The 26,994-nt window shown below is 46.7% G+C and overlaps 1 protein-coding gene and 1 long non-coding RNA gene across 12 annotated transcripts in view, besides 1 other annotated feature; one reads left to right on the forward strand and one right to left on the reverse strand.

Annotated features, from left to right (window-relative positions):
* Positions 1 to 16,997, reverse strand: part of CRACR2A (calcium release activated channel regulator 2A) — a 137,782-nt gene extending 120,785 nt beyond the window's left edge. For all 10 annotated transcript variants that reach the window (XM_011521034.4, NM_001144958.2, XM_006719021.4 and 7 more), the window contains exon 1: positions 16,903 to 16,997. The gene's annotated coding sequence lies outside the window, so the exon portion shown is untranslated. The remainder of the gene's footprint in view (positions 1 to 16,902) is intronic.
* Positions 16,732 to 17,231: a silencer, noted in NCBI's record as "silent region_4142". NCBI's record gives its function as "represses an Ori minimal core promoter by ATAC-STARR-seq in GM12878 lymphoblastoid cells {active_cell/tissue: GM12878}" and the evidence as "EXISTENCE:reporter gene assay evidence [ECO:0000049][PMID:35858748]".
* Positions 20,451 to 22,053, forward strand: LOC107984495 (uncharacterized). Of its 2 annotated transcripts, none has more exons than XR_001748963.2 (2): positions 20,451 to 20,596; positions 21,285 to 22,053. It is a non-coding gene; the product is annotated as an uncharacterized LOC107984495 (long non-coding RNA). The 2 variants fall into 2 exon arrangements; XR_001748964.2 differs by having other exon boundaries at positions 21,584 to 22,053.
* The last annotated feature ends 4,941 nt before the right edge of the window (positions 22,054 to 26,994 follow it).

The raw sequence follows: 26,994 nt of genomic DNA on the forward strand, positions 1-26,994 counted from the left end.
TGGCATGAGTGCTAGTAATAGACTAGATGGGGAAGAAGATGGAAGGAGGGGGGCCAGGTAAGAGGCTGATGCTATGACCCCAACAAGTACAGCAGGGGCTGCACTAAGGCGGTGGCAGTGCAGAGAGAGGAGGGATAGGGACAGATTCAAGAGACAGAGTGTGATGACAGCTGAACATGGGTACTGAGCTGGTAGAGGTATCTAGGATGACTCCATGACATCTAGCTTCAGAGGTTAGGTAGATGGGTGACATTATTTAGCCAGATTGGAAATTCTACAGGAAGGACAAGTTTGGCAAGGAAGAGAATTAGTTCCACTTGGAAATGTTAAGCTTGAGGCTTCCATGGGACATTGGAGTGGAGGCATTTAGGATGCAGTGAGAGAAAGATCTGGTGTGCAGGAGTGGGGACAGGGCTAGACATGTAGGTGTGGGATTCGCCAGTTGAAATATATGAGGGTTGAAGCTGCAGACATAATGAAGGCTGCTCACAGACTGTGCAGAGGGAGCAGAAAAAAACTGAGGGCTGGAATCATGCAGGACACTAACATTTAAGGGACACTCAGAACACGTCAGCCAAGGAGGCTCAGAAGCAGTGCTTAGAGAGGAAGCAAAGGAAATAATGTTGTCTCAAAACCCAAAGATGAGAAAAGATGGAGAACGTTTAACGAACTAGAGGCTGACAGCAGGTTCAAATGTTGTAGACACGTCAGACATTCCAGAGAAGAAACCCTGGACTTATCAATGAGGAGGCCACCGGTGAACTCAGTAATAGCAGTCCCAGTGGAGGGATGGAAGCAGAAGCCAGATTCATTCACAGATGCATTCTCCAATAAGCAACAGCTATCATGTGCCAGGCTTTGTGCTTTGTGCTGGGATAGGGTGATGAACTCAGCCCTTACCAAGTAGTGGACAGGGGAGAAAGTGGACAGAAATTACAATGATTACAGGATCACAACTGGGGTAAGTGTTCTGATGAAGACATGAAGACACACAAAGGGCTTGCTATAGGGAGCCCAAATTAACAAGACCAACACAGAAGATGAGAGAAAGGAAATTACATTTCTGTTGGGTCCACGGGGTGAATAGGAGCAACCCAAGGAAAGGTGGGTGGGAAGCCTGTTAAGGAGGGAGGACAGTGGGCATAAATACCCTCAGGTAGAACACGCTTTTTGTGTGTTCAAGAAATGGAAGGAAACCAGGGTGGCTAGAACAATCCTAATGTGGAAGAGAGTGGTAGGAGATGAGGCTGAAGAGTAGGACTTGATGGGCAGGTTAGAGATTTGGGACATTACCCCAACAAGCCAGAGGAAATCACTAAAGTTAAAATCTAAAAGGTTGGGAGAGACATGATCTGATTTGCATTTTTAAAAAGATGACTTTGGCTGCTTGTGGGGAATGAAATTGGAAGAGGAGGGATATGGAGTGGATACATGGAGGCTGGTTGGGGGAATCACTACAGCCCAGGCAAGAGATGGCAACATCTTGGACCAGGGCAATGGCAGCAGAAGTAGGTGCAGGTAAAGAGATTCTAGAGCTATTTAGAGGTGGAATCAAGAGGACTGGGTGGCCAATGGGATGTAGTAAGTGGGGGGAAGGAGCAGTTGAGGCCAGCATGGACTCTGTGGTCCCATCTACATCTATTCTTGGATACTCCCACAAGGCCACTGGGATGGAAGAACACATATCCTTTGAATTCCAAGGCATCAAGTCCTACTGGCTTTTGTAGGGCTCAGATCAGAACTAGAGGACAAGTCCTACCAAGCCTTCCTCTCCTAAAGGAGCCTCTCATCGATAAAATGATGTCTTCTAAATAGGCCTCCTGAAAATCTCCTCACCTTGTTTGGTGACACTCCTTCTGGTGTCATGTCCTGTGGGGTGGGGTGCCAGGCTGGCCAAGCCCCATGGCGAGTGGCTTCTCATCACAACACCCTATGCACTCTTTAGGGTATTCATAAAGTGCATTCAGTACATGTGGGCAATTCTAGGCTCCTAATGCCAATCTCCATCTGATCAGTTTTCCCTCTCCTAATTTTGTCAATTTTCCAACAACATGCTAGATTTCTATTTTCATCATTATGGCAGGCTAAGTACCTAGATGGACCTTACCACTAGAAACTACTAAAAAGTCTTATATAAATTTTTTTTTAATTTCCAAAAGCACTGATGGACTGACAAGAAAGGAAGGAATTCACGGGCCAGGGGCTTCTTTAGATAATATATATCCAGATACTGACCATAAAAATGACTGTAATGTATTCAAAGAAATTAAAGCCAAGCTTGAAGATTATGTGCAGGAGACAAAAAGTCATGAGGAATAACCAAGAAGTTTTGAAGAATGAACCAAAGAGAATGTTTAGAAATAAAAAAATAAATAATTGAAATTTCAAACTGTGGATAGACTTAAGAGCAGATTAAATACAGTTTGAGAAACAGACAGTAAACTGGAAGCTGGGTCAATAATAAATTAACCAAAATGCAGCACAAAAAGACAAAGACACTGAAAATATGAAAGAGAACTTAAGAGACATGAAAAAGAGTCTAACATACATCTGTTTGGAGTTTCAGAAGGAGAAGGAAAAGAATATTTAAACAGGTAATGACTAAGAATTTTCTAAAGTGATGAAAGATACCAAGACACATATTCAAGAATCCCAAGAAGAATAAATAAAAAGAAATCCATAAGCAGACACATGTCAGTGAGGCTTTAGACCACCAAAGACAAAGAGAGTGTCTTAAAAGCAGCACAGAGAAAAGAGAAATTACCTTCAAGGGATTAACAGGTTATTTCTCATCAGTGATGAACAAGACAGAAGGCAGTGGTAAAATACCTTCAACATGCTAAAATCATGTCACTGTCTTCTGAGAATTCTATACTTAAAAAGATATCCTTTAAGAACAAGAGAAATAAAGACATTATCTGACAAAAAAAAAACCTGGGAGTTGGCCACATGGAGACTCTCACTGAAAATGAAAATTTTAAAAGATAGACATCAAACAGAAAAAGACAGAATCTAGGTGAAAGATCTGAGATTAAGGAAGAAATGAAAAACAAAGAAGCTGAAAATGGATTTTCTCAGTGTGTTGTTGAAAAAGTTACAGATTGGTAGTCAGACATGCTTATACTGGTATCTTGCTGCCATCTCTTGCTATCTGAGAAACTTCAATCAAATTACTTAATCTGTCAGAGTCTTGATTTCTTCATCTTAAAAATTCATCTAACAGTGTCACTTATATGAGCATTTTTTTGAGGAATAAATGAGCAAATACCTACGAATGCTCCCAGCATAGCTTCTGTATCTGGAAGGTGTAAAGTAAATGTTAATTTCTTATCCCTTTTAAAATTAATGAATACATTTTAAAAATAAGACATTGCTAACAACAACGAATGACTCCCTTTGCTTCAGTTCTAAGATAAAATTCTGGCACTGTTTCAAATTGTACAAATATGAACTCGTGTTCAGCAGTTATTTTCATCTTTCCAGTATCAGGCCTAAGATATTTTGAACAAAATATTTATGATCTCTTTATTTAAGAAATACTGGCTGAGCACGGTGGCTCATGCCTGTAATCCCAGCACTTTGGGAGGCCGAGGCGGGTGGATCATGAAGTCAGGAGATTGAGACCAGCCTGGTCAACATGGTGAAACCCCGTTTCTACTAAAAATACAAAAATCAGCCGGACATGGTGGTGCGTACCTGTAATCCCAGCTACTCAGGAGGCTGAGGCAGGAGAATCGCTTGAACCAGGGAGTTGGAGGTTGCAGTGAGCCGAGATCACGCTACAGCACTCCAGCCTGGCGACAGAGCGACTCCGTCTCAAAAAAAAAAAAAATTATTGCATGCATAGACACAAGCCCCAGGGATATACCCCAGATTCTAGATGAACTCACAATTTTAAAATAATTTGTGGTCACAGTGTTATGAGGTTATAAAATAGATGCTGGTCCATCCGTACTGCAAAACGACATATCCTGCTCATCCTCTTTCCTCACATCCTTGCCCAGGGCTCTCCTTTCAACTAGGAGATCCCTGGAGATCAAAAATGATCCCTCTGCAGCTTCTGCTACCCCAACCCCCATGCTGGAGAGCCCCCCAGCTTCTTCCATGACCCTACTCTCAGTTTGATTAGGGAATGAAAAAGGAGAGGAAAGCCAAAGTTAATAAAAGGTAGCTAAGAAAAGTTAGCTTATTCTTTAGGGTCTCTGCCCAATTTTTATTTGGCAACACTTCCGGGGAAACAGATAAAGTCAGAGTGAATCTTTCCTTGATGGTGTCAAGGAAACAAAAAGCACTGGTCCTGAAGTTCTAAGTTCTACGTCCTGGGGTGGCGTCCTTACTCGGCATTTGCAACTTACATGTCCTTGGGCAAGCCACTTAACCCCTCTTATTTTATTTATGAGGCAATAATTATATCATATTTGTAGAGCATTTTACAATGTATTAAGTGCCTCCACAGTCATAATTTTATTTAATATGCTTGGCCAAGTGTATAATACTCAGTACTAATACCTTACTGCATTGCTGTACACATTTGAAAGCAGAGTCTGTGGGTTGCTGTGTGAATTGCAAACACCTTCATCAACAGAGAGATCATCTCCGTGTACATAATTTAACCCATTATGGTTATTGAGTGGGCTCTGCAGTCAAGTGCCTGGATTTGAATTCTGGTTTTACACTTACTAGCCATGTGACCTCGAGCAAGTTGCTTAGCTACTTTATAAGCCTCAGTTTCCTCACCTTTAAGTTAAGGAAAATAATAATTGTACCAGCTTGTAGTGCAGAGCTTTGCATATGGTGGGCTCTCAGTGAGAAGTGACTTGAATTTACACCAAGTTGAGTTGACAGCTGTCTGACCACACATATGTCCTCAAGAACACCCACCCTCCTTCTTCCTTTCTTCTCCATGGTTGCCTCCACCCTCTACATCCCTAGGCAAATATTTGCAAAGGGAAGGCAGAAGCTCCAGATAGCAGGACACACCCAGAATGACTTTCTTAAAAGTAACAAAGCCTCATTTTTCCATTTTCCACTTTCTGTAGGCTTTAGTTCCCACTCTATTTCAGGGGGGTCTCCATGCTATTTTGGTTGGAAACATAGCCCAGATTTCTGAGGGTCCCAGTCAGCCTGGACCCCTTCCTACTTCCTCCTGAGGGTCTTGATGTGACAGGCCGGAGAGCTCTGGGCTATGGGGCACCGGCTGAGCCTCAATCACCTAACTGAATTGTGCAGTTCACCTGTTTGATAAAAAACACTGATGACTGAGCCAAGGCTAAATGGATCTATTATAATGATATAAGAAGCAAAGGTTAATTTCAGCCAAACTGATGAATGAATGGAAAATACTTTGCTGCACAAAAATAAGCAACGCCCATTTAAAAGGCTTTCTGTTCATAAACGACTTTCATATTTTCACTGTTTAATTCCATCCTTATAAATTCCCTAAGGAACATGAAGGGCAGCTCTTTTATAGATGAGGCAACTGAGGCCCACAGAGAGCAAGTGGTGAAGCTGAACATAAAACACGCTCTTCCTCCCTCACACCCAATGCTGCTGCCTAGCATGGCTTCCCCACCTGAGCTTTCTGACTTTCCTGTCTGCCCGCTTCCAGCTTCTGTGGACCAGTTCCTAAAGGAACAGCATTAGGAGTCACATCACATCGGCATTTGCATTCAGAATGGGACAGGGCAGGAGGATAGGAGACATGGCTTACATCTTAGTCCACAAAAAGAAAACACATCCTCAAGAGCTCCAATTAGGCCCAATCAGCCTGGAGTTCACAGGCTAACTGCCTGCAGTAATGAAGTGGGCACATGTGTCCTCTCAGTGAGGGCAAGAGAGTCACCCATGACTGTCACTCTGCTAGTTAACATTTCTCTCCAAAGCACCTCTGAGACAGCCCAGCCATTTCACAGGTTGCAGACAGGCTGTGTGGCTGCTGGGGTTGAATGCACATCTGAGGTTAGGACAGGGAGGGCTGGACTAACCACCGTTACCCAGGCCTAGGACATGGGCAAATCATGAACAGCTGCCTTTGGCTCTATAACCAGGACTGAAAAGAAATCAGGCAGCAGGCATGAAAGAATTCAATAGTGGGCCTGTTGGTAAAAGACTTACCATCTGGGCATTGCTCATTCGGTTTTGGTTGGCTTTTCCTGGTGGATAACTGTATAAGGAGAGGGTGAGTCTCTGAGGGTGGTCCCATCTTCTTCCACTCTATAGCTCTCTGGCACCTTCTACAGGGTTCCGAATACCATCTCCATCCTAATGGGACATAGTCCACATCATACATGCCCAAATCTGTGGTGATTCTAGAGACCTTCCAGAGCACATGCAGAGGCGGGGCCAGCTGTGCTAGGTTCTATTTGACAACATCCCCGTCTAGACGAAGGAGGAAGGATCAAAAAGTCCAGAATTGAATCCTGGCTCCCTGCTGGGAGAAATCTCACTTCCTTCTAGATTATGAACTAGTCAGTGAAGGCCAGCAGGAGGAGAGTGTGACCCTTACAAATATTGGTAGGCACATTCTACAGCCTGGCCAGAACGTCACTGGTTTAATTTCCATAAGAATGACCCTCAGACACTGTCTATAAGATGGACAGAAGGACACTCATGGAACAGTCCTCCCAGGACCTCCTGTCACCACTTACCTGCTGAATTCTACCATCTTTGAAGACAAAGCTCAGTTCCCACCTACTTGGCTAAGCCCTCTCCAAGGCCCAGTTTCTTTCCAGAGCACATTCATTCTGTCCCATCTCCTTGGCAAAAGTTATACATGCTATCTGGGGAGGTCAGCTCTCTCTGCGCTTGTGTCTGGTCAAAAGAAATACTGTGTCCCTTTTTCTTTTTCCTAGTACAAAGCACTTCATACAGTAGGTGTTCAACAAGTACATATTAATCCATTTTGTTTTTTGTTTTATTGGCACTAAATCACTACAATGTAACCCCTAAAGTGTCAGAAAATTCAGATGTGGTGTGTGTTACAATCTAACTGCTATTGAGTACAAATTAGAACTTTTCATTCTATTTCAAACTTCTGTAAATAGGGCTTGTACATTTTTTAAAAATACGTTTAGTTTGCGATGTGTGACTACGTAATGGAAGCTGAGTAACTTTTCTTTTTTCATTGACACTCATTTTACCTGGCAGTTCCTTTTTGTGTCTCTGGTTCCACTTCAAGCTGCAGTTCAATGTACTAAAACTGCATTCCTTAAAACGAAGTACTATATCAGACTTTTAAACTGGCCTTTTCCATCCCTATATCTCTGGATGGCCTGTGCCTGGGGCAGCTCACCTGATACGGCGTCGGCGGCTTCTGCCTCCCATTTTACAGGCGTGTGGAGAGAGCTCTGTTATGAAGCAGACCCTGCAACCCAAGGGGTCGGCCCTTTGTAGGAAGCCAGTCAGGCACAGGGGGATCAACAGCCTGGGGGAGGTGTCCACGGTGCAGGTGTCTATACCGGGACTAGGTGTCTGGTGTGAACCCACACAAGTTGTTGAACCTGTCTGAGCCTCAGTTTCCTCAACTGTAAAAAGGACATGGTAAGACCTATATCAGAAAATGCCTGGCACATGGCAGGCATTTGACAAATTATCTTATTATGAAGCATGCAGCCCACCCAGAAGTTTGTTGAATGCTTTGCTGTTTCCCCAGCTGACTTCATTCCCAGAGTTAAGCCACATCAGAACCCTGTGCCCTAAAGAAAGTTCAACCCAAAAATCTGAGTTCTGAGACACACAGTAGGGGCTTGCAGTCCATGGGGAGGGTAATGACGAGCAATAGGAAATGTGCCAGAGGACACGTCGCAGAAGATGTGTCAGATGCCAGAAAGAATGCTCGCTGGGGAAATAGCAAATACACTCTGTAGTATCTGTGGCCAGGACAACCACAGCCTAGGAACAAACTGTGTCCTGAGTAAATGCAGAATCAAGCTGTGGTGAGATACCAAGAGGGGACAGGAAAGCAAAACAGATCATGACCAAGAACAGGAGCTGAGATGGTGACCAAACCCCTGCTAGCCAGAGAACGTGCACCAATTCTCTGCCTTGGGAGGAATCCACGGTCAAAGCTAAACTCACACTTTCATAGTATGTGTGTAATTAGTTGAAAAGCTTAATTTAACAGTTTGGTAAATTCCATTAGCAGTTTATCTGTGGTATGTAATGAAGCTATTTTTAAGTGAATCCTTTTTGGCTAAAGGCCCCAGTGAAGAATCCTAATGGAACATGGTTCACATAATACAAACCCAGATCCGTGCAGATGCTAGAAACCTTCTCGAGTAGACACTAATGTGCCCAGACAGGGAAGCTGTGCTTGACTCTGTACAATGACACCCCTGTCTAGATGAAGCAGGAAGAATCAGAGAGTCCAGAATCAAGTCCCAGCTCTGAAATTACACTGCCTCGGGTATGTTACTTACATCTGTGGTGCTCACTTTCCTCATCTGGAAAGGGTGGGTGATCATACTACCTTACAGGACCCTGGGGAGAAATATGCAAGGTTCTGTACAAAGTACTTAGCCCACAGGAGGGCAGTCTCACAGAAGTGCTTTTGATTGAAGCAGATAATTTTTTTTTTAAACCCAAACAAACAGAAAGGAATAAGAGAGAAATGGCAGCAGAAAGATTACCCAAGTCGACAGGACATCTGATGGTGAGGCCATTGTGCAGAGAGCGAACTGAGACGGTATCACTGTATGACTTCCTGGAGCCACAGTTAAAACCAAACCTTCTCCAACCCCATCAGTTTGAGAAGAGGAAACAATTCACAATGTGAATATACTTACTGCCACTGCGCAGTATACTTAAAATGGTTAAAATGATACATTTTATGTTATGTATATTTTATCACAATGAAACAGTGAAGATCCAAAAACAAACAAACAAAAAACCCTAAACCTCAACTCTCTGCCCACTGAAGACAGTCCAATAAAAATAACATAAAGAAGAGTTGGATGGCCTTCCCTCTGTGGGATTCTGTAGGGAAGGCTGTGTCCATGCACCCAGATGCCACACCAAAGGCCCTGTGAGTCAAGATCTCCATCCTGTGGATGATCTGTATCCGGGGTGTCTGTTCAATCCAAACTCCCAGAAGACCCGAAAACCAAAAAGCTACCGCAGGCCATGGCACCACTGAAAGATCTAGAGGTTCTTCTGCTGAACAATGTGTTATCCCTGATGGTATCTCCCCAATGGCAATTTCTGACCGTGATTCAGATGACACTACCCACAGAAATGAACTTCCAAGAACTCCTCCTCCCTCAATCCCACCGTGTCCTCCTCTGGGGATGGTGGCGCTGCTGCTGTCTTGCTCACAAAACCTGCCTTGGGAAGAAAGCCCCTAAAATTTCAGCCCTGCTCAGGTTAAGAAATAGTAGCTTTAGGCCAGGTGCAGTGGCTCACACCTGTAATCTCAGCACTTTGGGAGGCCAAGGCAGGCAGATCATTTGAGGTCTGGAGTTTGAGACCATCCTGGCCAAGATGGAGAAACCCCGTCTCTACTAAAAATACAAAAATTAGCCAGGCATGGTGGTGCATGCCTGTAATCCCAGCTACTTGGGAGGCTGAGGCAGGAGAATCGCTTGAACCCAGGAGGTGTAGGTAGGTTGCAGTGAGCCAAGATCATGCCATTGCGCTCCAGCCTGGGCAACAAGAACAAAACTTCGTCTCAAAAAATAAAATAAAATAAAATAAAATAAAATAAAATAAAATAAAATAAAGAAAGAAAAGAGAAGAGAAAAGAAAAAAGAAATAGTATCTTTGACAAACCATCTCCTTCCCTACAGAAAAACAAAACCTGGCTGAAGGCAGGAGGTGTCTCTCTGGCCAGTGTCTCTCATCTCCCTCCCGCTGACCTCCCTGACCCCATTCATGTCTTCAGAAGGGCATGGCCCTGTCGAGGGGGTGAAGGGCTGTTCCTGTGCCTCAGGGCCCTGTGCTGTAAATGCTTCCCAGCCTGGGCTGTACTTCTAGGTGCAGCTCAAATCCTACCTCCTCTCTAAAGCCATGAGAAATATACTTTACTTACTTGCCTATAAACACTAACATCATTGGTTATTTTTCATATCATCTCCTGCTATGAGCTAAATTATGTCCCCCCGACAATTCATATGTTGAAGCCCTAACTCTCAATGTGATGGTATTTGGAGGTGAGGACTTTAGGAGGTGATTAGGTTTAGATGAGGTCATGAGGGTGGGGCCCTCATGATGGGATTAGTGCCCATCATGAAGAGACACCAGAGAGCTCTCTCTCTCTCTCTCTCTCCCCATCTCTCTCTCCTCCCTCTTCCCCACCCTTCCTCCACCCTCCCTCTCCCTTCTTCCTCTCCCATTCTCTCCCTCTCTGTGCCATGTGAGGACACAAAAAGAAAGTGGCTTTCTGCAAGCCAAGGAGAGAACCTTCACCCACCAAACTGGCACCATGATGTTAGACTTCCAGCCTCCAGAACTGTGAGAAAATAAATTTCGGTTGTCTGTGATATTTTGTTCTGTCTGCCAGAACAAAGACATCCCCTCAAAGGGAGTATGCATGCCTACTACAGGGACCACCCCTCTCTTCTTAGACCAGACCCCCTGCAGGACCCTTTGCTGGCACAGCAGGGACTTAGCATGCATGGAAGCTAATTAGGTGAGAGACTCTGCTTCTGCCTCCTGGAGAATTTCAATCCAAGACAAGCACAACAAGTTGTGAAGGACCAACAAGGGGAGGAGTACATCTCAACAAGTTGGTTGAGAAGGACCAACAAGGGGAGGAGTACACCCTTAGCATGGAACTCAACCACAAGCTCTCAAAACAGGTAATGTCACCATGACCCATGGGATCACATGTGCGTGGACCACGTGCTTCCTCACATCCCTTAACTCACCTGACATGGATCAACAGGTAACTCCTGTATTCTCACTTGAATGAAGAGAAGAGAAACTCAGGTTTAGAGGCTAATCCCAAAGACATATGACTGGTTAGAGTAGAACCCAGACTCTGCACTAAGCATTCAGAGGCGGCAGGCTGTGGAACGCTTGAGGACTTGGCCCTAGAGCCAGACTGCCTGGGTTCAAATCCCAGCTCGGCCTCTTATCAGCTGTGTGACCCTGGAAAAGTTACTCAGCCTCTTGAAACAGATGAGGAAGATGGCTTCCTCATCTGTAAAATGGGGAGGATGATCATAACAGTGCCTATTTCATAAAACGGTTACAAAGATGAGTTCATTTATGCCAAACTCTCAGCCATGCCCAGTGTGTTTCTGTGCATCAACCTTGAGGTGCAGTGGAAAGAGAGTCCCTGGAGTTCCGTCTTTGGTCAAGGTGGGGCTGCAGGAAGCTGGCCTCCCTCCCGCATCAGCACCAATCCAACCCTCTATCCCAGTGGGTGAAGGTATGTGGTTATGTGCAGCGGACAATGTGGCAAAGCTGCATCCATTTACCAAGAGAACTCTGATGGACTACAAATCCTGGACCTCAATGCTGAGCAATCTCTAAAGTAAACAAAGTGAAAATAAACCAATCACCCAGGTAATAGAAGATTTTCCTCTTGTCTGCACTGGTAATTGGGTCATGGTAGCCAACCTCCCACGTCCCCTGGTGCTGCTGTGAGTTTAAAAGAGAGTAAAGGAAGCTGTCTGGCCAGAAACACGAGTGCAGGTTCCGGGAGGAGGGCAGCCACACCCGCTGGTTCCAGCTTGTCCTGGTGCACCTGTAGCACGTGTGCTACGTCTCACCCTTCTCACCTTTCCTCTAACTAAGCCCAGAAGGGCACAGAGCTCCACAGGCTCAGGGGTGCACCCAGAAGGGCACAGAGTTCCACAGGCTCAGGGGTACACCCAGAAGGGCACAGAGCTCCACAGGCTCAGGGGTGCACCCAGAAGGGCACAGAGTTCCACAGGCTCAGGGGTACACCCAGAAGGGCACAGAGTTCCACAGGCTCAGGGGTGCACCCAGAAGGGCACAGAGTTCCACAGGCTCAGGGGTACACTACGAGCACAGGACTGGGTGTTAAGCCTATCCAACCTCACTGCTGGGACTTGCTTGGGTAAAACACGGTTTCCACTTTCCCACAAGTTCTCAGGCCCAGCCTCACATTTTTCCACCCCCAGGCAGGGCAGCTCTATTGTGTGAATAAGGGATCTTCAGCACAGATGGGGTGGGGACAGAGGCCCTTGGAATCTGAACCACAGGGGAAGCTTGCCTGCTCCTACCTCCATGCATCTTCTAGAAACACCTGGAGCATCACCCAGAGTCAGACTCCACCCACCATAGAGCCTGCTGCCCCATAAATGCCTCCCTTGGCCAGCCCCATCCAGGATGTGTCAACAAACAGACAAGGGAAGAAAGTGTCCCGCTGGCATTCCGAGAAAGCCAGGGCTGGGAGCCAAAACACACCGACAAGGGGGATGCTCTGTCTCCTGAAGAATCTGTCACAAAAGAAAATTCTATAGCCCTCAAGCTGGAAGAGGCCCTGGAGATAACTTTGTCATCACAGGGTGGCACCCTCTAGTTGCCCCAGGCAGATGAGGTCCTAGAGGAACCCGTCCCTAATATTGAACTTCAAGAGGTCCTTCCTGTATCTAACTCAGCCTTCAGAGAAAGGGCAGAGCAGTTACAAGGCAAGGATGACTGAGAACTCCAACACCTGAGGCCAAGACTCAGCACTGTGTACAAGGTGTGGAGCCTGTAGAGGACAAACCTGACTGAGGGTTGTCCTCCCCCTCACCTCAGCCTGACTGCAAATTTGTTTATGTCATCCGGATGACGTCATGCTAACTTGACCAGTTGGAGCAGCTGTGAGGGAAAACAGACCCCAAAGGTCCCTCTCCTGAGTCCTGTGAGGGGAAGGGGGTGTCTTTGTGTGGATGCTGTTGGTGAGTAGAGAGCCAATGGAGCATAACGCTTACAGTGCAGGCTCTGAAATAGCCAAGCTGCCTGAGTTCAAATCCTGCCTCTACCGTGTATCGGCTGTGTGACCATAGACATGATACTGTGCCTCTCTCTTCCTCAGTTAACTTTTCTATAAAATGGGCATGATGGCAGTGCCTAGCCAATTGGGTTGTAGTGAGGCTTCCATAAGGGAATACATGGACAGCCCTTGGGCCATGCCTGGCACTTTCTTTGCATTGCTCTTGTGAAGGTGACCAGTTTGCCTGGAACATCCTGGCTATGCTTGTGGTCCCAGCATTGCTATGAATATTCCCCCTTTCACTCCCGGCAGTGCCCGAGGTTGGATGATGTATTATAAGAGTGACTCCCTTTGGCTTCTTCATGTCCACCTGGTTATCTCCCTGCTTCATGCTGCCTCTGAGTACTGGGGAGCCAGGTTCCCAAAATATAGGTCCCCAAAGTAGGTTCTGCCCATGCCACTGAGCTGTCTGCTCCACAAACTCAGCTCTTCCTCTTTTCCTTCTTCTCTGCACTTTGTCTCTTCTCCTTCCTTGATCCTTACAGCCATCCTCTCCTTTCCTGCTTCCCTGTCCGTGCCTTAGGATTCTGCTGGTGCACACAGGTACCGTCTGGCTTTATTGGGACTTCCCCCTGACCCTGTACTTGGACGGAACCCTTTATGGCTCTAACTAAACTGTGCCTTATCAAATTTCTCTCAGAGGAAAGGAAGCGATTTGAAAAGGCAAAGAAATGACCAATAGATGGATGAGTGGAACAATGTGCTGGTTTTTGTTGTTGTTGTTGTTGCTGTTTCTTTGTGTGTGTGTGTGTGTGTGTGTGTGTGTGTGTGTGTGTGTGTGTGTTGTGTTGGTAGGAACAAAAAGTGTACCAGTTTGAAATGGTCCATTGAATGCTAGACCTGTCTATAGAACTGTCCCCAGGGCTATTTTTTTTATTTTTTATTTTTATTTTTTGAGACGGAGTATCGCTCTTGTCACTCAGGCTGGAGTGCAATGGCGCAATCTCAGCTCACTGCAAACACCGCCTCCCGGGTTCAACCAATTCTCCTGCTTGGCCTCCTGAATAGCTGGGATTACAGGTGCCTGCCACCAAGCCCAGCTAATTTCTGTATTTTTAGTAGAAATGAGGTTTTGCCACGTTGGCCAGGCTGGTCTCGAACTTCTGACCTCAGGTGATCCACCCGCCTCAGCTTCCAAAGTGCTGGGATTACAGGTGTGAGCCACCAAGCCTGGCCCCCAGGGCTATTTTACAGGAAACCCTGGAGGCTCCTCTGCAAGACAGCGGCCTCCATGTGTGTCAGTGCAGAAAGCAAAACCTCTGGAGCCCAAGGGCCTGGACCCATTTCTGCCACTCACTAACAGCTGACAAAGGACCATGATTTCGCAAAGACTCAGTTTCTCCATCCGTAAAATAGGGCAGACTTGTCTCTAGAACACCGTGATTCTATGACATTGTAAGAGGCCGTGGACCTGCTCTTAAGATCCTGAATTCTGCAATATTCTGCAATATTTGGCAATTACATCTTTTAGCTCTTCTCTAGGGGAAACATACGAGGGAAACAGGGCCTTGGAAAATATAAAATCTGAACTAATTCTCACCTAAGGTATCATGGCAAGTGCCTGAGTCCTCTGTGCATTGCAACAAAATAGACACTATTTTGTGTGGAAGAAAAGCAAGAGAGAGATGTGAACTCAGTGGGTGATTAGCCTGTCCCTGAGGAATCCCTCACTAGCTCTCCCCTAGCTTCTCTCAGCTGCATTGCCAGTACCCAGGCAGCCTGCAGATTCAACCCTCCCTCCCCACAACAGGTTCAGCAAACCATTGCAACAAGGAGCCCCAAGGCAGAATGGATGGCTACTGCGGCCACTGCCCCAGTGCTGGGGCCTGCCTTCTGCAGGCTCACCACAGCGTGACGCATCTCCAATCACCCCCCACACCTGGGGTTCCATCTCTGTCAGTGGCATCACCAGCCACTCTAACTCTGGAATCCAAATCGCCATCATCTTGGTCTCTTCTGCTCTGGTCCCTGACATTTATTCAGTTACCAGATTGCATCTACTCCATTGTTCTCTGGGTTAAAATCCCCATCCCACCACTTATTTTCTGTATGACCTTGGATAAACCACCTAACCTCTCTCTCAGTTTCCTCCTCTACAATATGGAACAATCATAGCAATCTCCTCATGAGGTTGTCAGGAGGATTAAATGAGATTAAACATGAAAATCTCCTACCACAGGCCCTGGCACATGGCAGATGACTTTTCCCCTACCCCCAAGCCTTTTAGCCCCTTCCTGTCCATTCCCACCAGCCCTGTTCAACCCCTCATGGTGACTGCAATGGGCTTCTTCCCAGGTTCTCTTCCCACAGCTTCCTCCACTGCAGTACATCCCATACCCAGGTGCAGATGACATGTTCTTCTGAACCCAGCTCCAGGAACAACACTTCCCTTCTTAGAAACCATCAAAATATCCCTAGGCTTAATAATGAAGTTTCTAGACTCGTAACACTCCAAGCCTCTGCCATCTCTCCCAGGCAGCACTCCTCACCGGATTGTCCACTACATTACTCCTTGCTCCTCAGGTACAACCCACCTTCACGGCTTTGCTCAGCCGTCCTTCCCCAAGATGCCCAGACCCAGCCTCCTATTCAAGGCCCGGCCTCAGTGCCACATCCAGGACGCCCTCTGCGAGTCACTCCTTCCAGAAGTAACCTCCCTCCTCCAAACTCCCTCTACACACTTTATAGTATAGAACCGAGAGGTGACAGGACCTCGGAAGCCGTACCTGAAGCCTCTCACTTATAGAACCGAGAGGTGACAGGACCTCGGAAGCCATACCTGAAGCCTCTCACTTATCACTTAAAAACTGCGCATGAAGTAGCTCTTATGGGCAAATACTAAACCATGAGGTTGTACATATTCATTTCACCTGAAAAGGGGCATGAACTCTGGACCCTTCAACAAAAATGCTGATTCCACGTGGAGCAAACTGCTCTGATTTCATATCCCTATGCCCACATCCTTGATAAAAAGACTCTTCGGTACATGCTGCTTTCTTCCAGAGACAAGGAACCCATCACCTCATGAGTTAGGTTCTTCCTCCTGACCCTCTGACCACCCTGGGGACTCCCACGGATTGGCTCTTTCTGTCCTCTTGAGTCACACAGAACGAATTCCTTTGAGACTCCTGGTGTCCTCCACAGAGCCAAACAGGGCAGGTTCCTAAGCACACTGTGTAAACAGATAAATGAACTCAGAGGGCTTTCCCACGTGGCAGGGTACATTCGCTGCATCCCGTGCATGCATGGGTGCACAGACACACACTCGCACACACACGGACACACACACACACACACGGACACACACACACAGACACACACACACACGGACACACACACACACGGACAGAGTCAGCACAACGCCTCTGAGCCACACAGCCAGGCCAGCACACGCGGGGGCCAGGGCGGAAGCCAAGCCCCAGCAGCCGCCCACTTCCTGACCTCCTTCCTTTGCTCTGGGAGGTTCTCTCTCTGTGTCTTTCTGACTGTCTGTCTCGGTTCTTTGTTTCTCGGCATGGCAACAGTTGTGGATGCTGCCTGCGTGGCCAGGGCTCCTAGTAGCACTGACCTGCAAGGTAGGAGTTTTGGTTCTTAGACTTGAGACCTTGGGCAAGTCACTTTACCATTCTGAGCCTCAGTTTCCTCATCTGTGAAATGAAGAGGCTGGATGAGGCTGGAGGGTTCCTAAGGTCCTTTCCTGACCAAAACCCTAGTGCTTCTCGGCTCTCCTCCAGTCCCGTTACCGAGTGACAGGGAGGGGAGCAAGGGCCAGGCCAGGCCTGGGGGTGGCAGGGGAGCCAGCTGTTCCCCCCCAAGGGCACACAGCCTCCATCCAGGCCCTCTGCGAGTTCCATGTGCGGCAGACACGCGCTCACACTTCGCAGCCGGAGGAGCAGGCAGGAAGCGCCGCCCCCCGGCCGCCCCGGCCGCCCACCCTCAACCTTCCTCCACGTTACCTTGGGCGTGTAGGCTTCCCGTGGACCTGCCCGCGCCGCCCGCTCGGCTCTCAGCTGTCAAGCAGCCGCCTGCTCCGCCCGACTCTTTCCGCTCCGAGCCGCGCGGGCTGGACCAGCCCCTCAGCGGAGCTGAACGGGAAGCGGCGCCCCCTGGACGCCCTCCGGGACGTGCGCGCGCCAAGCGGTGGGGTCCGGGCCTGCAGGCGCGACCTGAGGCCGCCAGGGAGGCTGGGTGGCGAGGGCGGGGCGGCTGCCGACTTAGCCGGCCTGACTGGTCGGGCTTCCGGGGTCCCGCTGCTCCCTAGGCCCCTTGCCCCGATTCAGGCTCCCAAGGTGGGGCATCAGTCCGGCCCTCGCTGGCTCACTGGAGAGGTGGTGTCTGGGAGTGCACCCCCGAAAACCCGGCAGCAGCCCGGCGTCACTCCGGCTGTTACCTCTGGGAGCAGAAACTAAAGGGGATCCTTATTCTTTATACTTTTCTGACTCTTCTATATATTCTACTGTGGGCATGAATCGTTAAAAACAAAACAAAACACCAAAAACCCAATACGTATTTGTTAATAAAGCACTGAGTAAATCTTCAAAGGCCTCCCGAGGTGCTCCGGCTGCAGGATAACCCCTCAGCTTAGCGCACAAGGCAAGGCCCACCCTGCCCTCTCCGGCCACAACCTAATTTTCCAGCCTCACCCTCTCTCCCTCACACACACACAACACTTTCGCTCTGGACACACTAGCTGTTGCCAAACACCAGCTGTTCTTCATGGCTGCTGGGAGTTCTTCTTTTTGCCTGGAACACCCTCCCCTTTCATCTCTGCCTGTTGAAATCCTACTCATCCATCCAGGCCCCTCTGAAATGTCACCTTTTTGGAGAACCCTTCCCCAGACACTGCCCCTGCAGAGTGCCCCAGTTCTTTCCTGGCAAGCCCATCTTTCTGGTACTGGTTTATGTAGTAGCATCCCCCTCTCACACGCGCTAAGTCCTATTCCAAGGTGGAGAGAAACAAATTAGCACTTACTGAGCAGCTGTTATAAATTACTCTGTGGAGTCCTTTCTTCTCCTTGCAGCCCAGCCAGCCACTAGCCCACAACCTCCCTCCACCCTGCCAGAGTTTCAGAAGGCTGTCAGGGGCTCTGAGGCCTGCCCTCTGGTGTGTCCCTACTGCGTGCCTTGGCTTTTCTGGCTCTGTCCTGGGTATGCTTCCCTGTGTCAACTCCCAAGGTCTGCAAGCTGGTGGCTTGACCTTCTCTCAGCCTTATGTGAGGAAAGAAGGACATTTCATTATCAGAATCTGAGAAGTGGAAGGGGCCTCAGAGATTATCCAGTGTAAAGCCTGCCCACCCATTTTACAGAGCAGAAAACTGTGACCAGAGAGATAAGGTCAGAGGCATCGGAGGTACCTACCATTGTTATTGTTGTTTTTAATAGTGTTAATACTTGCACGTTTAGATCGCCTTTCACTTCTAAATCAATGCGTTGTCATTCATTTGCCCCTTACAGTCTCAGAGGTATTACAGTGGTTAGTGCACAGACTCTGGAGGCCAAAGCCCTGGGTTTGAATCTCAGTGCTCCAACTTGCCAGCTACGTCCTTGGCAAGTTACTGGAACTTTCTCCATCAGTACAATGTGGATAGTAACAGCTCCTGCATCATGGGGTGTTCTATGAATCGAAATAAATGTGTATCTTTAAAGGGCTTAGAATAGTAGTAGGTTCATTAAAAATGCCAAATGTATTTGCTCTTATCAAATTTTTGTTATTGTTAATTGTATCACTTCACAGTTGGAATAACAGAGGCTCAGAAAGGCTGAGACTCATCCAAAAAATTGCTGCTTTGAGGATGGTTTCTCACCAAACTCCATGCAGTCATCTTTGTCTCTGATGCCATTCTGCTTCCTGTTCCCTTGTGTCTGAGTCTAACCACCTATTTAATAGGGAAGAAAAGCAACTGTCCTTTAGCCCACCTCAGAACACCTAGACATTTCATGTTGCAAACATTAACCACATCTTCTGGCTTCTATGGGGATGTCTCTAATTTGCTGGCGTTTTCTTTAACAGAACACCACGCCTCATGGTGCCCTTCAGAATCACAGAGCCATCACATTAACTGCTGCAAGTTCAGCTTGTACATTCGTGCCTCTTTTACTCTTGGCCCGTGGCAGAAAAGCGACAGGGAAAAGATGGTTCTTCCAATGTATGGATGTAGGAAACTGAGGCACAGTTGATACTCACTGATTGGCCCCAGGCTATGGAGCTAGCCTGGACCATGGGAAGGATGAGGATCTCCACCTCCTCTTTCCCCATGATTACATGATTCAGTGTTGCAGGAGAAACCCAAACTCGTTTATTCAATGAGGATTTATTGAGCTCTCTCTAGGTGACGAATAAGACCGAGGCAAGGCTGGCTTCCTGGGCATATGACCTATGAAGTCACATAGGCCAGAGGTCCCCAACCTTTTTGGAACCAGGAACCTGTTTCGTGGAAGACAATTTTTCCATGGACCAGGGGTGGGAGTGGGGGGTGGGAATGGTTTCAGGATAAAACTGTTCCACCTCAGATCATCAGGCATTAGTTAGATTCTCATAAGGAGTGTGCAAACTAGATCCCTCACATGCACAGTTCTCAATAGGGTTCACGGACCAGTACCCCATTACCGGTTTGTGGCCTGGGGTTGGGGACCCCTGACATAGGCCACTCACTTAGAAGGGCTTCATACAGAGTTTAATGCTGTCCTGCCACCTTCTTGAAATCTTAACAATTTTTGAACAAGGGGCCATATAAGTTGTATTTTACACTGGACCATTCAAGTTGTACAGCTGGTCTGGACCTAGGCTCTTCCCTAGGAGCTCTGTTTCACAGGGAATCAGCCAGGGAGTTGACAACTGCAGTTCAGTACGATGGGGGTTGTGACAGAAGCAGGGTAGCCGTGAAAGAAGAACAGGACCTTGGCCAGTATTCAGCTCACTTGGGTCATCCTCCCCAGCTGTGCAACCTGCCCAGCTGCCAATGACTTACCACTGTGCTCCTTGGTGGGAGGATGGCCTTGGTTTAGCACCAGGGCCTGTAGCCCCAGACAGCAGCTGCAAACCCTGCCACCCTAAGAGGCCACTGCTAGGTCATGTCAACACCAGGAAATGTGTGTCATTGGAGCCCTAAGCTGTTCTCATGTCCTCCAACCCAGGACTCATGTCCCTGATCTCATGTCCCCGATCACCAGACTGCCAGTGGACTCTACTTTCTGCTGCCTGCCCAGACCCAGTCAACTTCCAGAAAAGGGCACATAAAGTGATCCACACTGAAAAGCAATTGGCAGACAAAACCTAATGGGCTATTCATCCAAAGGAAACTTGGGTTTTATTAGGGGTATCTGGTGTCCTCCTGGCCTGCATTCTGACATATAATAAGCATCTAAGTCATGACAATTGAGTGAACATACAAAAGGTAAATACATATGGCAAAGCCTAGAATTGGAATTGGCAGTTTGAAGGCCATTGGCCCAAGAACAGGGTATTTTCGGTTGTGTTCTCTTTTCTTTCTTTTTTTTGGATGAGTGCTGGAAGCCCCAACACAATTGTTTGGGAATAAATGGAAGTGAGGAATGGAGAAGTAAGGAGGTACCACTCTCAAGGAGGCTGTCAGTAGAGGGGACAAAGAGTGTGAGAGAGGAACAGAAGAACCAAGCAGGAGACTGGAAGAGGTTTGTAGACTGAGGTTAAGAATCTGATGAAGAGAGAAAGGATGAAGAGTGAGGAGGGGTCAATGGCCCTGGTATAAGAAGAGGCAGGAAGGACTGGCGAGGACAAGGGCTTAGGAGGAGCCCAGAAGTCTCAGAAGCAGGGGGAGGAGGTAAAGATGAGTGAGGATGGGAGCAAGGTGGTGGGAGGAAAGTGGATGCAGAGCTCCCAGATCATAGTCCCTGTTTCATCTATGAACCAAGAAAATAGGTAATGGCTGGAGGGTCTGGGCTGATTGGTGGGGTAAGTAACATTTAGATGCTTGTGCTGTGAGTTGCTGCCTCCTCTGGGGTGGGGCAGGGAAGAGCCAGTGTCAGGGGTCGGGGGAGTAGAAAATTGGCTTGAAGGGCACAGGGACACTTCCAATGAGGCGTGCTACCCTCTTCCAGAGTCACCTTGATGCTCTATGGCATCCTTCCTCCTGTCATCTGTAACTTCTTTGTTTTTTCTTGTTCACTTGCTGCTTTCAACTCTAACTTAAGCCCAGTTCCTATTATTGGTCCCCTTAGAGGAACAATGAAAACATTCACTGTTCTAATACAGGAATCCCTCTATTGTTCCTTCTTCCTTATTGTGAATGGCAACAATTACAGAGTTTCCAACAGGTGGAGGCCAAAAACCAAACAGATTTTTCAATGTTGACTTTCTCAGGCTGCATACAGAAGGGCAGCATCTGCCCCACCTCCCAGAGCTTCGCCAGCAAAGGCCAAATCAAACAGCGGCCCAGAGCAGAGGGCTGGCCAGCTCTACAGAGCCAGCAAACACCAGAGGGAAATCACCCTGGATCCATATCTTCTAACCTTTGCCTCTGTGAGCATGTTTGGGAAGGAGACATCTATGAGATTGCAGGAGCCAATTCAGGCTACATGCTTATAGCTGCAATTGAAAAATTAGGCTAGAATGCAGGGCCTCCCTGAAGATATTTCTGAAAATCATGTACTTCCTTTAAGGGATTTACAAATCTGGAGTCCTTCCAAAACAGGACAAGTAAGACATGAGCAGTGACTTTCTACTCTCCATCCAGCAGCCAACAATAGACTTCGTCATTCAGATGGAGCTGCAGAGGTACAGACCTGAGAGAGCTGGAAGTCATAGAGCCAATCCCATGTATTACTGACGAGGTAACTATGGCTCAGGGTGACTTGACCTGTAAGCCACAAGCTTGTGGGTGACCACTCCAGGCCCTGAATGGAGGATTTCACTCCATCCCCCTGCCCCACAAGTGGCCTCTGAGAGACAGAGTACCTGATGCCACCTTATGTGGGATATTGTTTTTGCTGTCACGAATTTCTGAATCCCCTCTTTGTGGAATAGAGAAATCAAAGCCACCATACGTTCAAGGGTATCCACTAAAGAAGCCACATGGTTACTTCAGCTAAAAATAAATTAAAGACCTAACAATGAATTATCATTTATCTAATCATCTGGGAATGATGAAATTAATGTTTCGTATCTACTATTTTACAGTTATAAATTGCTTAGAAAGTATAGATATTTTTCCCTCATAATTCTGCTTTCCCATGAGTGCACATGCATACACACAAGACCCAACCACAGTATCTTGACCGTGAATATAATAAATAAGGAAATAACAAATGTAGTAAGGTGAAGGAGGGGGTTCTGTCAGCCCAAGAATGTTCTAGGCCTAGTGTTTGGTGGAGCCAACCAGCTCCTACAAGCCAGCGAAAACAAAGAAAAGTGCCTGGCCATTTCATTACAGAGTGCTTCCCAATAATCTAATTCCTCCACCATCAAAATTTGGTCAGGGAACATCACCATTTTTAGAGAGATGCTTTGTTTTGATAAAACAACCCTTCTGTATTAGTCTCTTCTCATGCTGCTGATCAAGACTTACCTGAGACTGGGTAATTTATAAACGAAAAGAGGTTTAGTGGACTCACAGTTCCATGTGGCTGGGGAGGCCTCACAATCATGGTGGAGGGCAAAAGGCACGTCTTATATGGTGGCAGACAAGAGAGAGCTTGGGCAGGGAAACTCCCCTTTATCAAACCATCAAATCTCGTGAGACTTATTCACTATCACAAGAACAGCACAGGAAAGACCCACCCCTATGATTCAATTACCTCCCACCAGGTCCCTCCCATGACAAATGGGAATTGTGGGAGCTACAATTCAAGAGGAGATTTGAGTGGGGACACAGCCAAACTATATCACCTTCTAAGCTTATGTCTCACTATTCACCCACAAATAGGCTGTAAAGAGCCCAGCATTTGCTTTCTAGCAATGGTGTCATACCAGCTTTGCTTTCCCTGCCTGCAGGGCCCTCCATGCATCTCTGTTTAAAGTCTAAAGCCAGATCCAGCTTTCATGCTGCCTACTGCAGAAAGACACCTCTGGTGTTTCTCAACCAGAGGAGCCTCCCCACCTCTCAATTCCGGACCACTTCTCTTAAAAACATGACCAATGATGCCAAAAGTCTAATTTATGTGTAGAGTTGGTGTTGCAGAGTAGAAGGGGATTGAGAGGTTGAGACTAAATAACTACTCAGCTTTGAACATGTCAGGAAGTTTATCTGTTCTTCGGCTTCCTAATCTGTAAAATGTAGTTAGGGACAGGATCTACCTGATGAGGTTGTTGTGAGACGTAAATGAAATAATTCACATAAAAAGCAACTAGTACAGTGCCTGGTACATAGTCAAGGCTTACAGTGTCAGGAAAGGAAAAAGGAAGGGAGGGAGGGAGGGAGGAAGGAGAGGAAGAGGGAAAAGCAAAGCAAAGAGAATGACACCAGCCTAGGCAACACAGTGACACCCCATCTCTACAAAAAATTATAAATTAAAAAAAAATTAGCCAGGCATGGTGGCTGATATGGTTTGGATTTGTGTCCCCACCCAAATCTCATGTCGAATTGTAATCCCTAATGTTGGAGGAGGAGCCTGGTGGGAGGTGACTGGATCATGGGGAAGGATTTTCCCCCTTGCTATTCTCATGATAGTGAGTGAGTTCTCACAAGATCTGGTTGTTTAAAAGTTGATATGGTTTGGCTGTGTGCCCACTCAAATCTCAACTTGAACTGTATCTCCCAGAATTCCCACGTGTTATGGGAGGGACCCAGGGGGAGGTAGTTGAATCATGGGGGCCAGTGTTTCTTGTGCTATTATCATGATAGTAAGTCTCACAAGATCTGATGGGTTTATCAGGAGTTTCTGCTTTTGCTTCTCTCTCATTCTCTCCTGCCACACTATGTAAGAAGTGCCTTTCCCCCCCCACCATGATTCTGAGGCCTCCCTAGCCATGTGGAACTGTAAGTCCAATTAAACCTCTTTCTTTCCCCAGTCTCGGGTATGTCTTATCAGCAGCATGAAAAGGGACTAATGAAACGTGTATAGCACTTCCCTTTTTGCTCTCTTCCTCAAGCTCCAGCCATGTAGGATGTGCCTGTTCCACCTTCACCTTCTGCCATGATTGTAAATTTCCTGAGGTCTCCCCAGACATGCTTCCTGGAACCATGAGCCAACTAAATCTCTTTTCTTTATAAATTACCCAGTCTCAGGTAGTTCTTTATAACCATGTGAGAATGGACTAATACAGTGGCACACACCTGTAGTGAGCTATGATAACGCCACTGCACTCCAACCTAGGCAACAGAGCAAGACCCTGTCTCTGAAAAGAAAGAAAGAAAAGAAAAAGAGAGAGAGAGAAAGAAAGAAAGAAAGAGAGAGAGAGAGATAGAAAGGAGGGAGGGAGGGAGGGGGAGGGGAGGGGAGGGAAAAGAAAAGAAAAGAAGCAAGCAAGAAGAGAAGGAAGAAGGAAGGAAGGAGGGAAAAAATATCCTCCTCTCTCTACTGAAGTCAAAAGCACCATTGCCTCTTCTTAGATGAAATACATATATGACCTCCTTGGAGGCACAATTTTATGTAACAATGACACCAAAGATCATGGAAAGGGTGAGATCAATTAATTTTTTAGATCTCCTATGTAAAGACATTGGCTGAATTCTGAATTCCATTAGAAACTGAATATTTTCAGGATGGAAGGAAATGCAGCAAGTCACCCTGTCCAACGCCCATTGATTTTCAGCTAAGGGAACTGAGATCTGCAAAGGGTAAGAGCCCACTGGCTGCAGCTGAGTCCAGATTGGAAAGCTTCCAGCCCAGACCTCCTCCCCTCCTGCACATCCCCTCTCCCAGCTGGGGAGAGACACCATAAAAACCTGATGTCCAGAGAAGAACTTCTGGCATAAGAGTGTGAAGAGGTCGATAATCTATTTCCTCAAAAAGCAACTATAGTCCCCACTCAAAACTGTCAAAAACAACCATTTCATTTCCCAAAAATGACTGGAGGCGTGCAACAAACTGAGAAGTGCTTATATTCGTGAAAACTACTAAACTTACAGCAACATCAGCGTGAATCTGTGGTGATTTGTATGAGTCCTGCACCCCTGCCCCGCCACCAGAGTGCTGTTGTTTGATAGTTCAATGAGGGCAAGCCAGATCTTACAAACTAGCATTTTTTTGTCACTGCCAGAGGGGGTTCCCTTGACTTGAAGCAGTATTATTTAAGCGATGATCTCAGAGGCAAGTAATCAGAAAGGACCAGAAGCTCTTCTGGCCTGAAACTGCAGAGCAAGCAATGGGCTAGTGACTAGCTGGGTACTTAACAGGGAGTTCCAGGAGGTGAAGCAGATATGAGGGGATTAGTAAACTCTCCCCATATTATGAGTTAAACAGAGGTCGTATGCATATGCTGCAGAAACGGGAACATCCTAAGCCACCCACACATTCCTGGCCAGTGGAGTCTTCCCCATGTACAGTGGAGATGCAAGGGCTCAGGGGAAAAGAGAAGCCTCGGCAGACTTGGGGGGAAAATGCCTGAAATTTTGATGCACTCTCCAGCTGACTCACAAATCTGCCAGCAGAAAGTAGAAATCTCACTGGCTCGAGATATTTGAGCATAACCTCTGACCAATCTTTGGCTGAACGCTAATCTAGGCAGACACATGGGCAACTCTAGGAAGCCAGGCTTAAGAATAAGAAACAAGGCCAGCTGGCCGGGCACGGTGGCTCATGCCTGTAATCCCAGCACTTTGGGAGGCCGAGGTGAGCGGATCACGAGGTCAGGAGTTCGAGACCAGCCTGACCAACATGGTGAAACCCCGTCTCTACTAAAAATACAAAAATTAACCAGGCGTGGTGGCGCGCACTTGTAATCCCAGTTACTCAGGAGGTTGAGGCAGGAGAACTGCTTGAACCCAGGAGGTGAAGGTTGCAGTGAACCAAAATTATGCCACAGCACTCCAGCCTGGGCGATAAAGTGAGACTCGGTCTCAAAAAAAAAAAAAAAGAAACAAGGCCAGGAGTGGTGGCTCACGCCTGTAATCCCAGCATTTTGGGAGGCCGAGGCGGGTGGATCATGAGGTCAGGAGATTGAGACCATCCTGGCTTACACAGTGAAACCCTGTCTCTACTAAAAATACCAAAAAAAAAATTAGCGGGGTGTGATGGCATGCTCTTATAGTCCCAGCTACTCAGGAGGCTGAGGCAAGAGAATCATTTGAACCCAGGAGGCAGAGGTTGCAGTGAGCCGAGATCACACCACTGCACTCCAGCCTGGACAACAGAGCAAGACTCTGTCTCAAAAACAAACAAACAAAAAAGAATAAGAAACAAGAAAAACAGTAGCAGAGACAGTCATAGATGTACGCTGCAGAGGCAAGCTTCACAGATTTCTTCCAGACAAGTTATTAAATAAACATACAAAACAATAACAATAGCAACACTCAAATTAAAATTAAAATCCAAAGTTGCTACAATATACTATGTAAAATATCCAGTTTTCAACAAAAAAATGATAAGGCAGGCAAAGCAACACAAAGGTATGACCATATTCAGGAAAAAAAAAAAGGAGTCAGTTGAAATTGTCTCTGAATGTCCCTGGATGTTGGGTCTAGCAGACAGTTTTTAAAGCAGTTATTAGAAATATGTTCAAGGAACTACAGGAAACCATGTTTAAAATTTTAAGGAAAGTATGACAACAATAAATAAACAATATCAACAAAAGAAATTACACGAATGAATCAATTCTAAAACAATGGATGTCACAAGGCAGTGAAATGACATATTCGAAATGGTGAAAAATATCTGTCAACAAATTACTTACATCCATCAAAACTATCCTTCACAAATGAAGGCAAAGTAAAGACATTCCCAGGTAACCAAAGAGTGAGACAATGTTTTGCTAGCAAATGTACCTCACGATAAATACTAATGGAAGTCCTTTAGGCTTAAAGAAAGTAACACCATAAGATACTCAAATCCACAGAAAGAAAGGAAGCAGTTCAGAAATTATAAATATGTGGGTAAATATAAAAGACTCCATAAATATAGTTTTTCCAATTTTT

The sequence above is a fragment of the Homo sapiens genome, chromosome 12 (genome assembly GCF_000001405.40).
Source record: "Homo sapiens chromosome 12, GRCh38.p14 Primary Assembly".
NCBI lineage: Eukaryota > Metazoa > Chordata > Mammalia > Primates > Hominidae > Homo > Homo sapiens.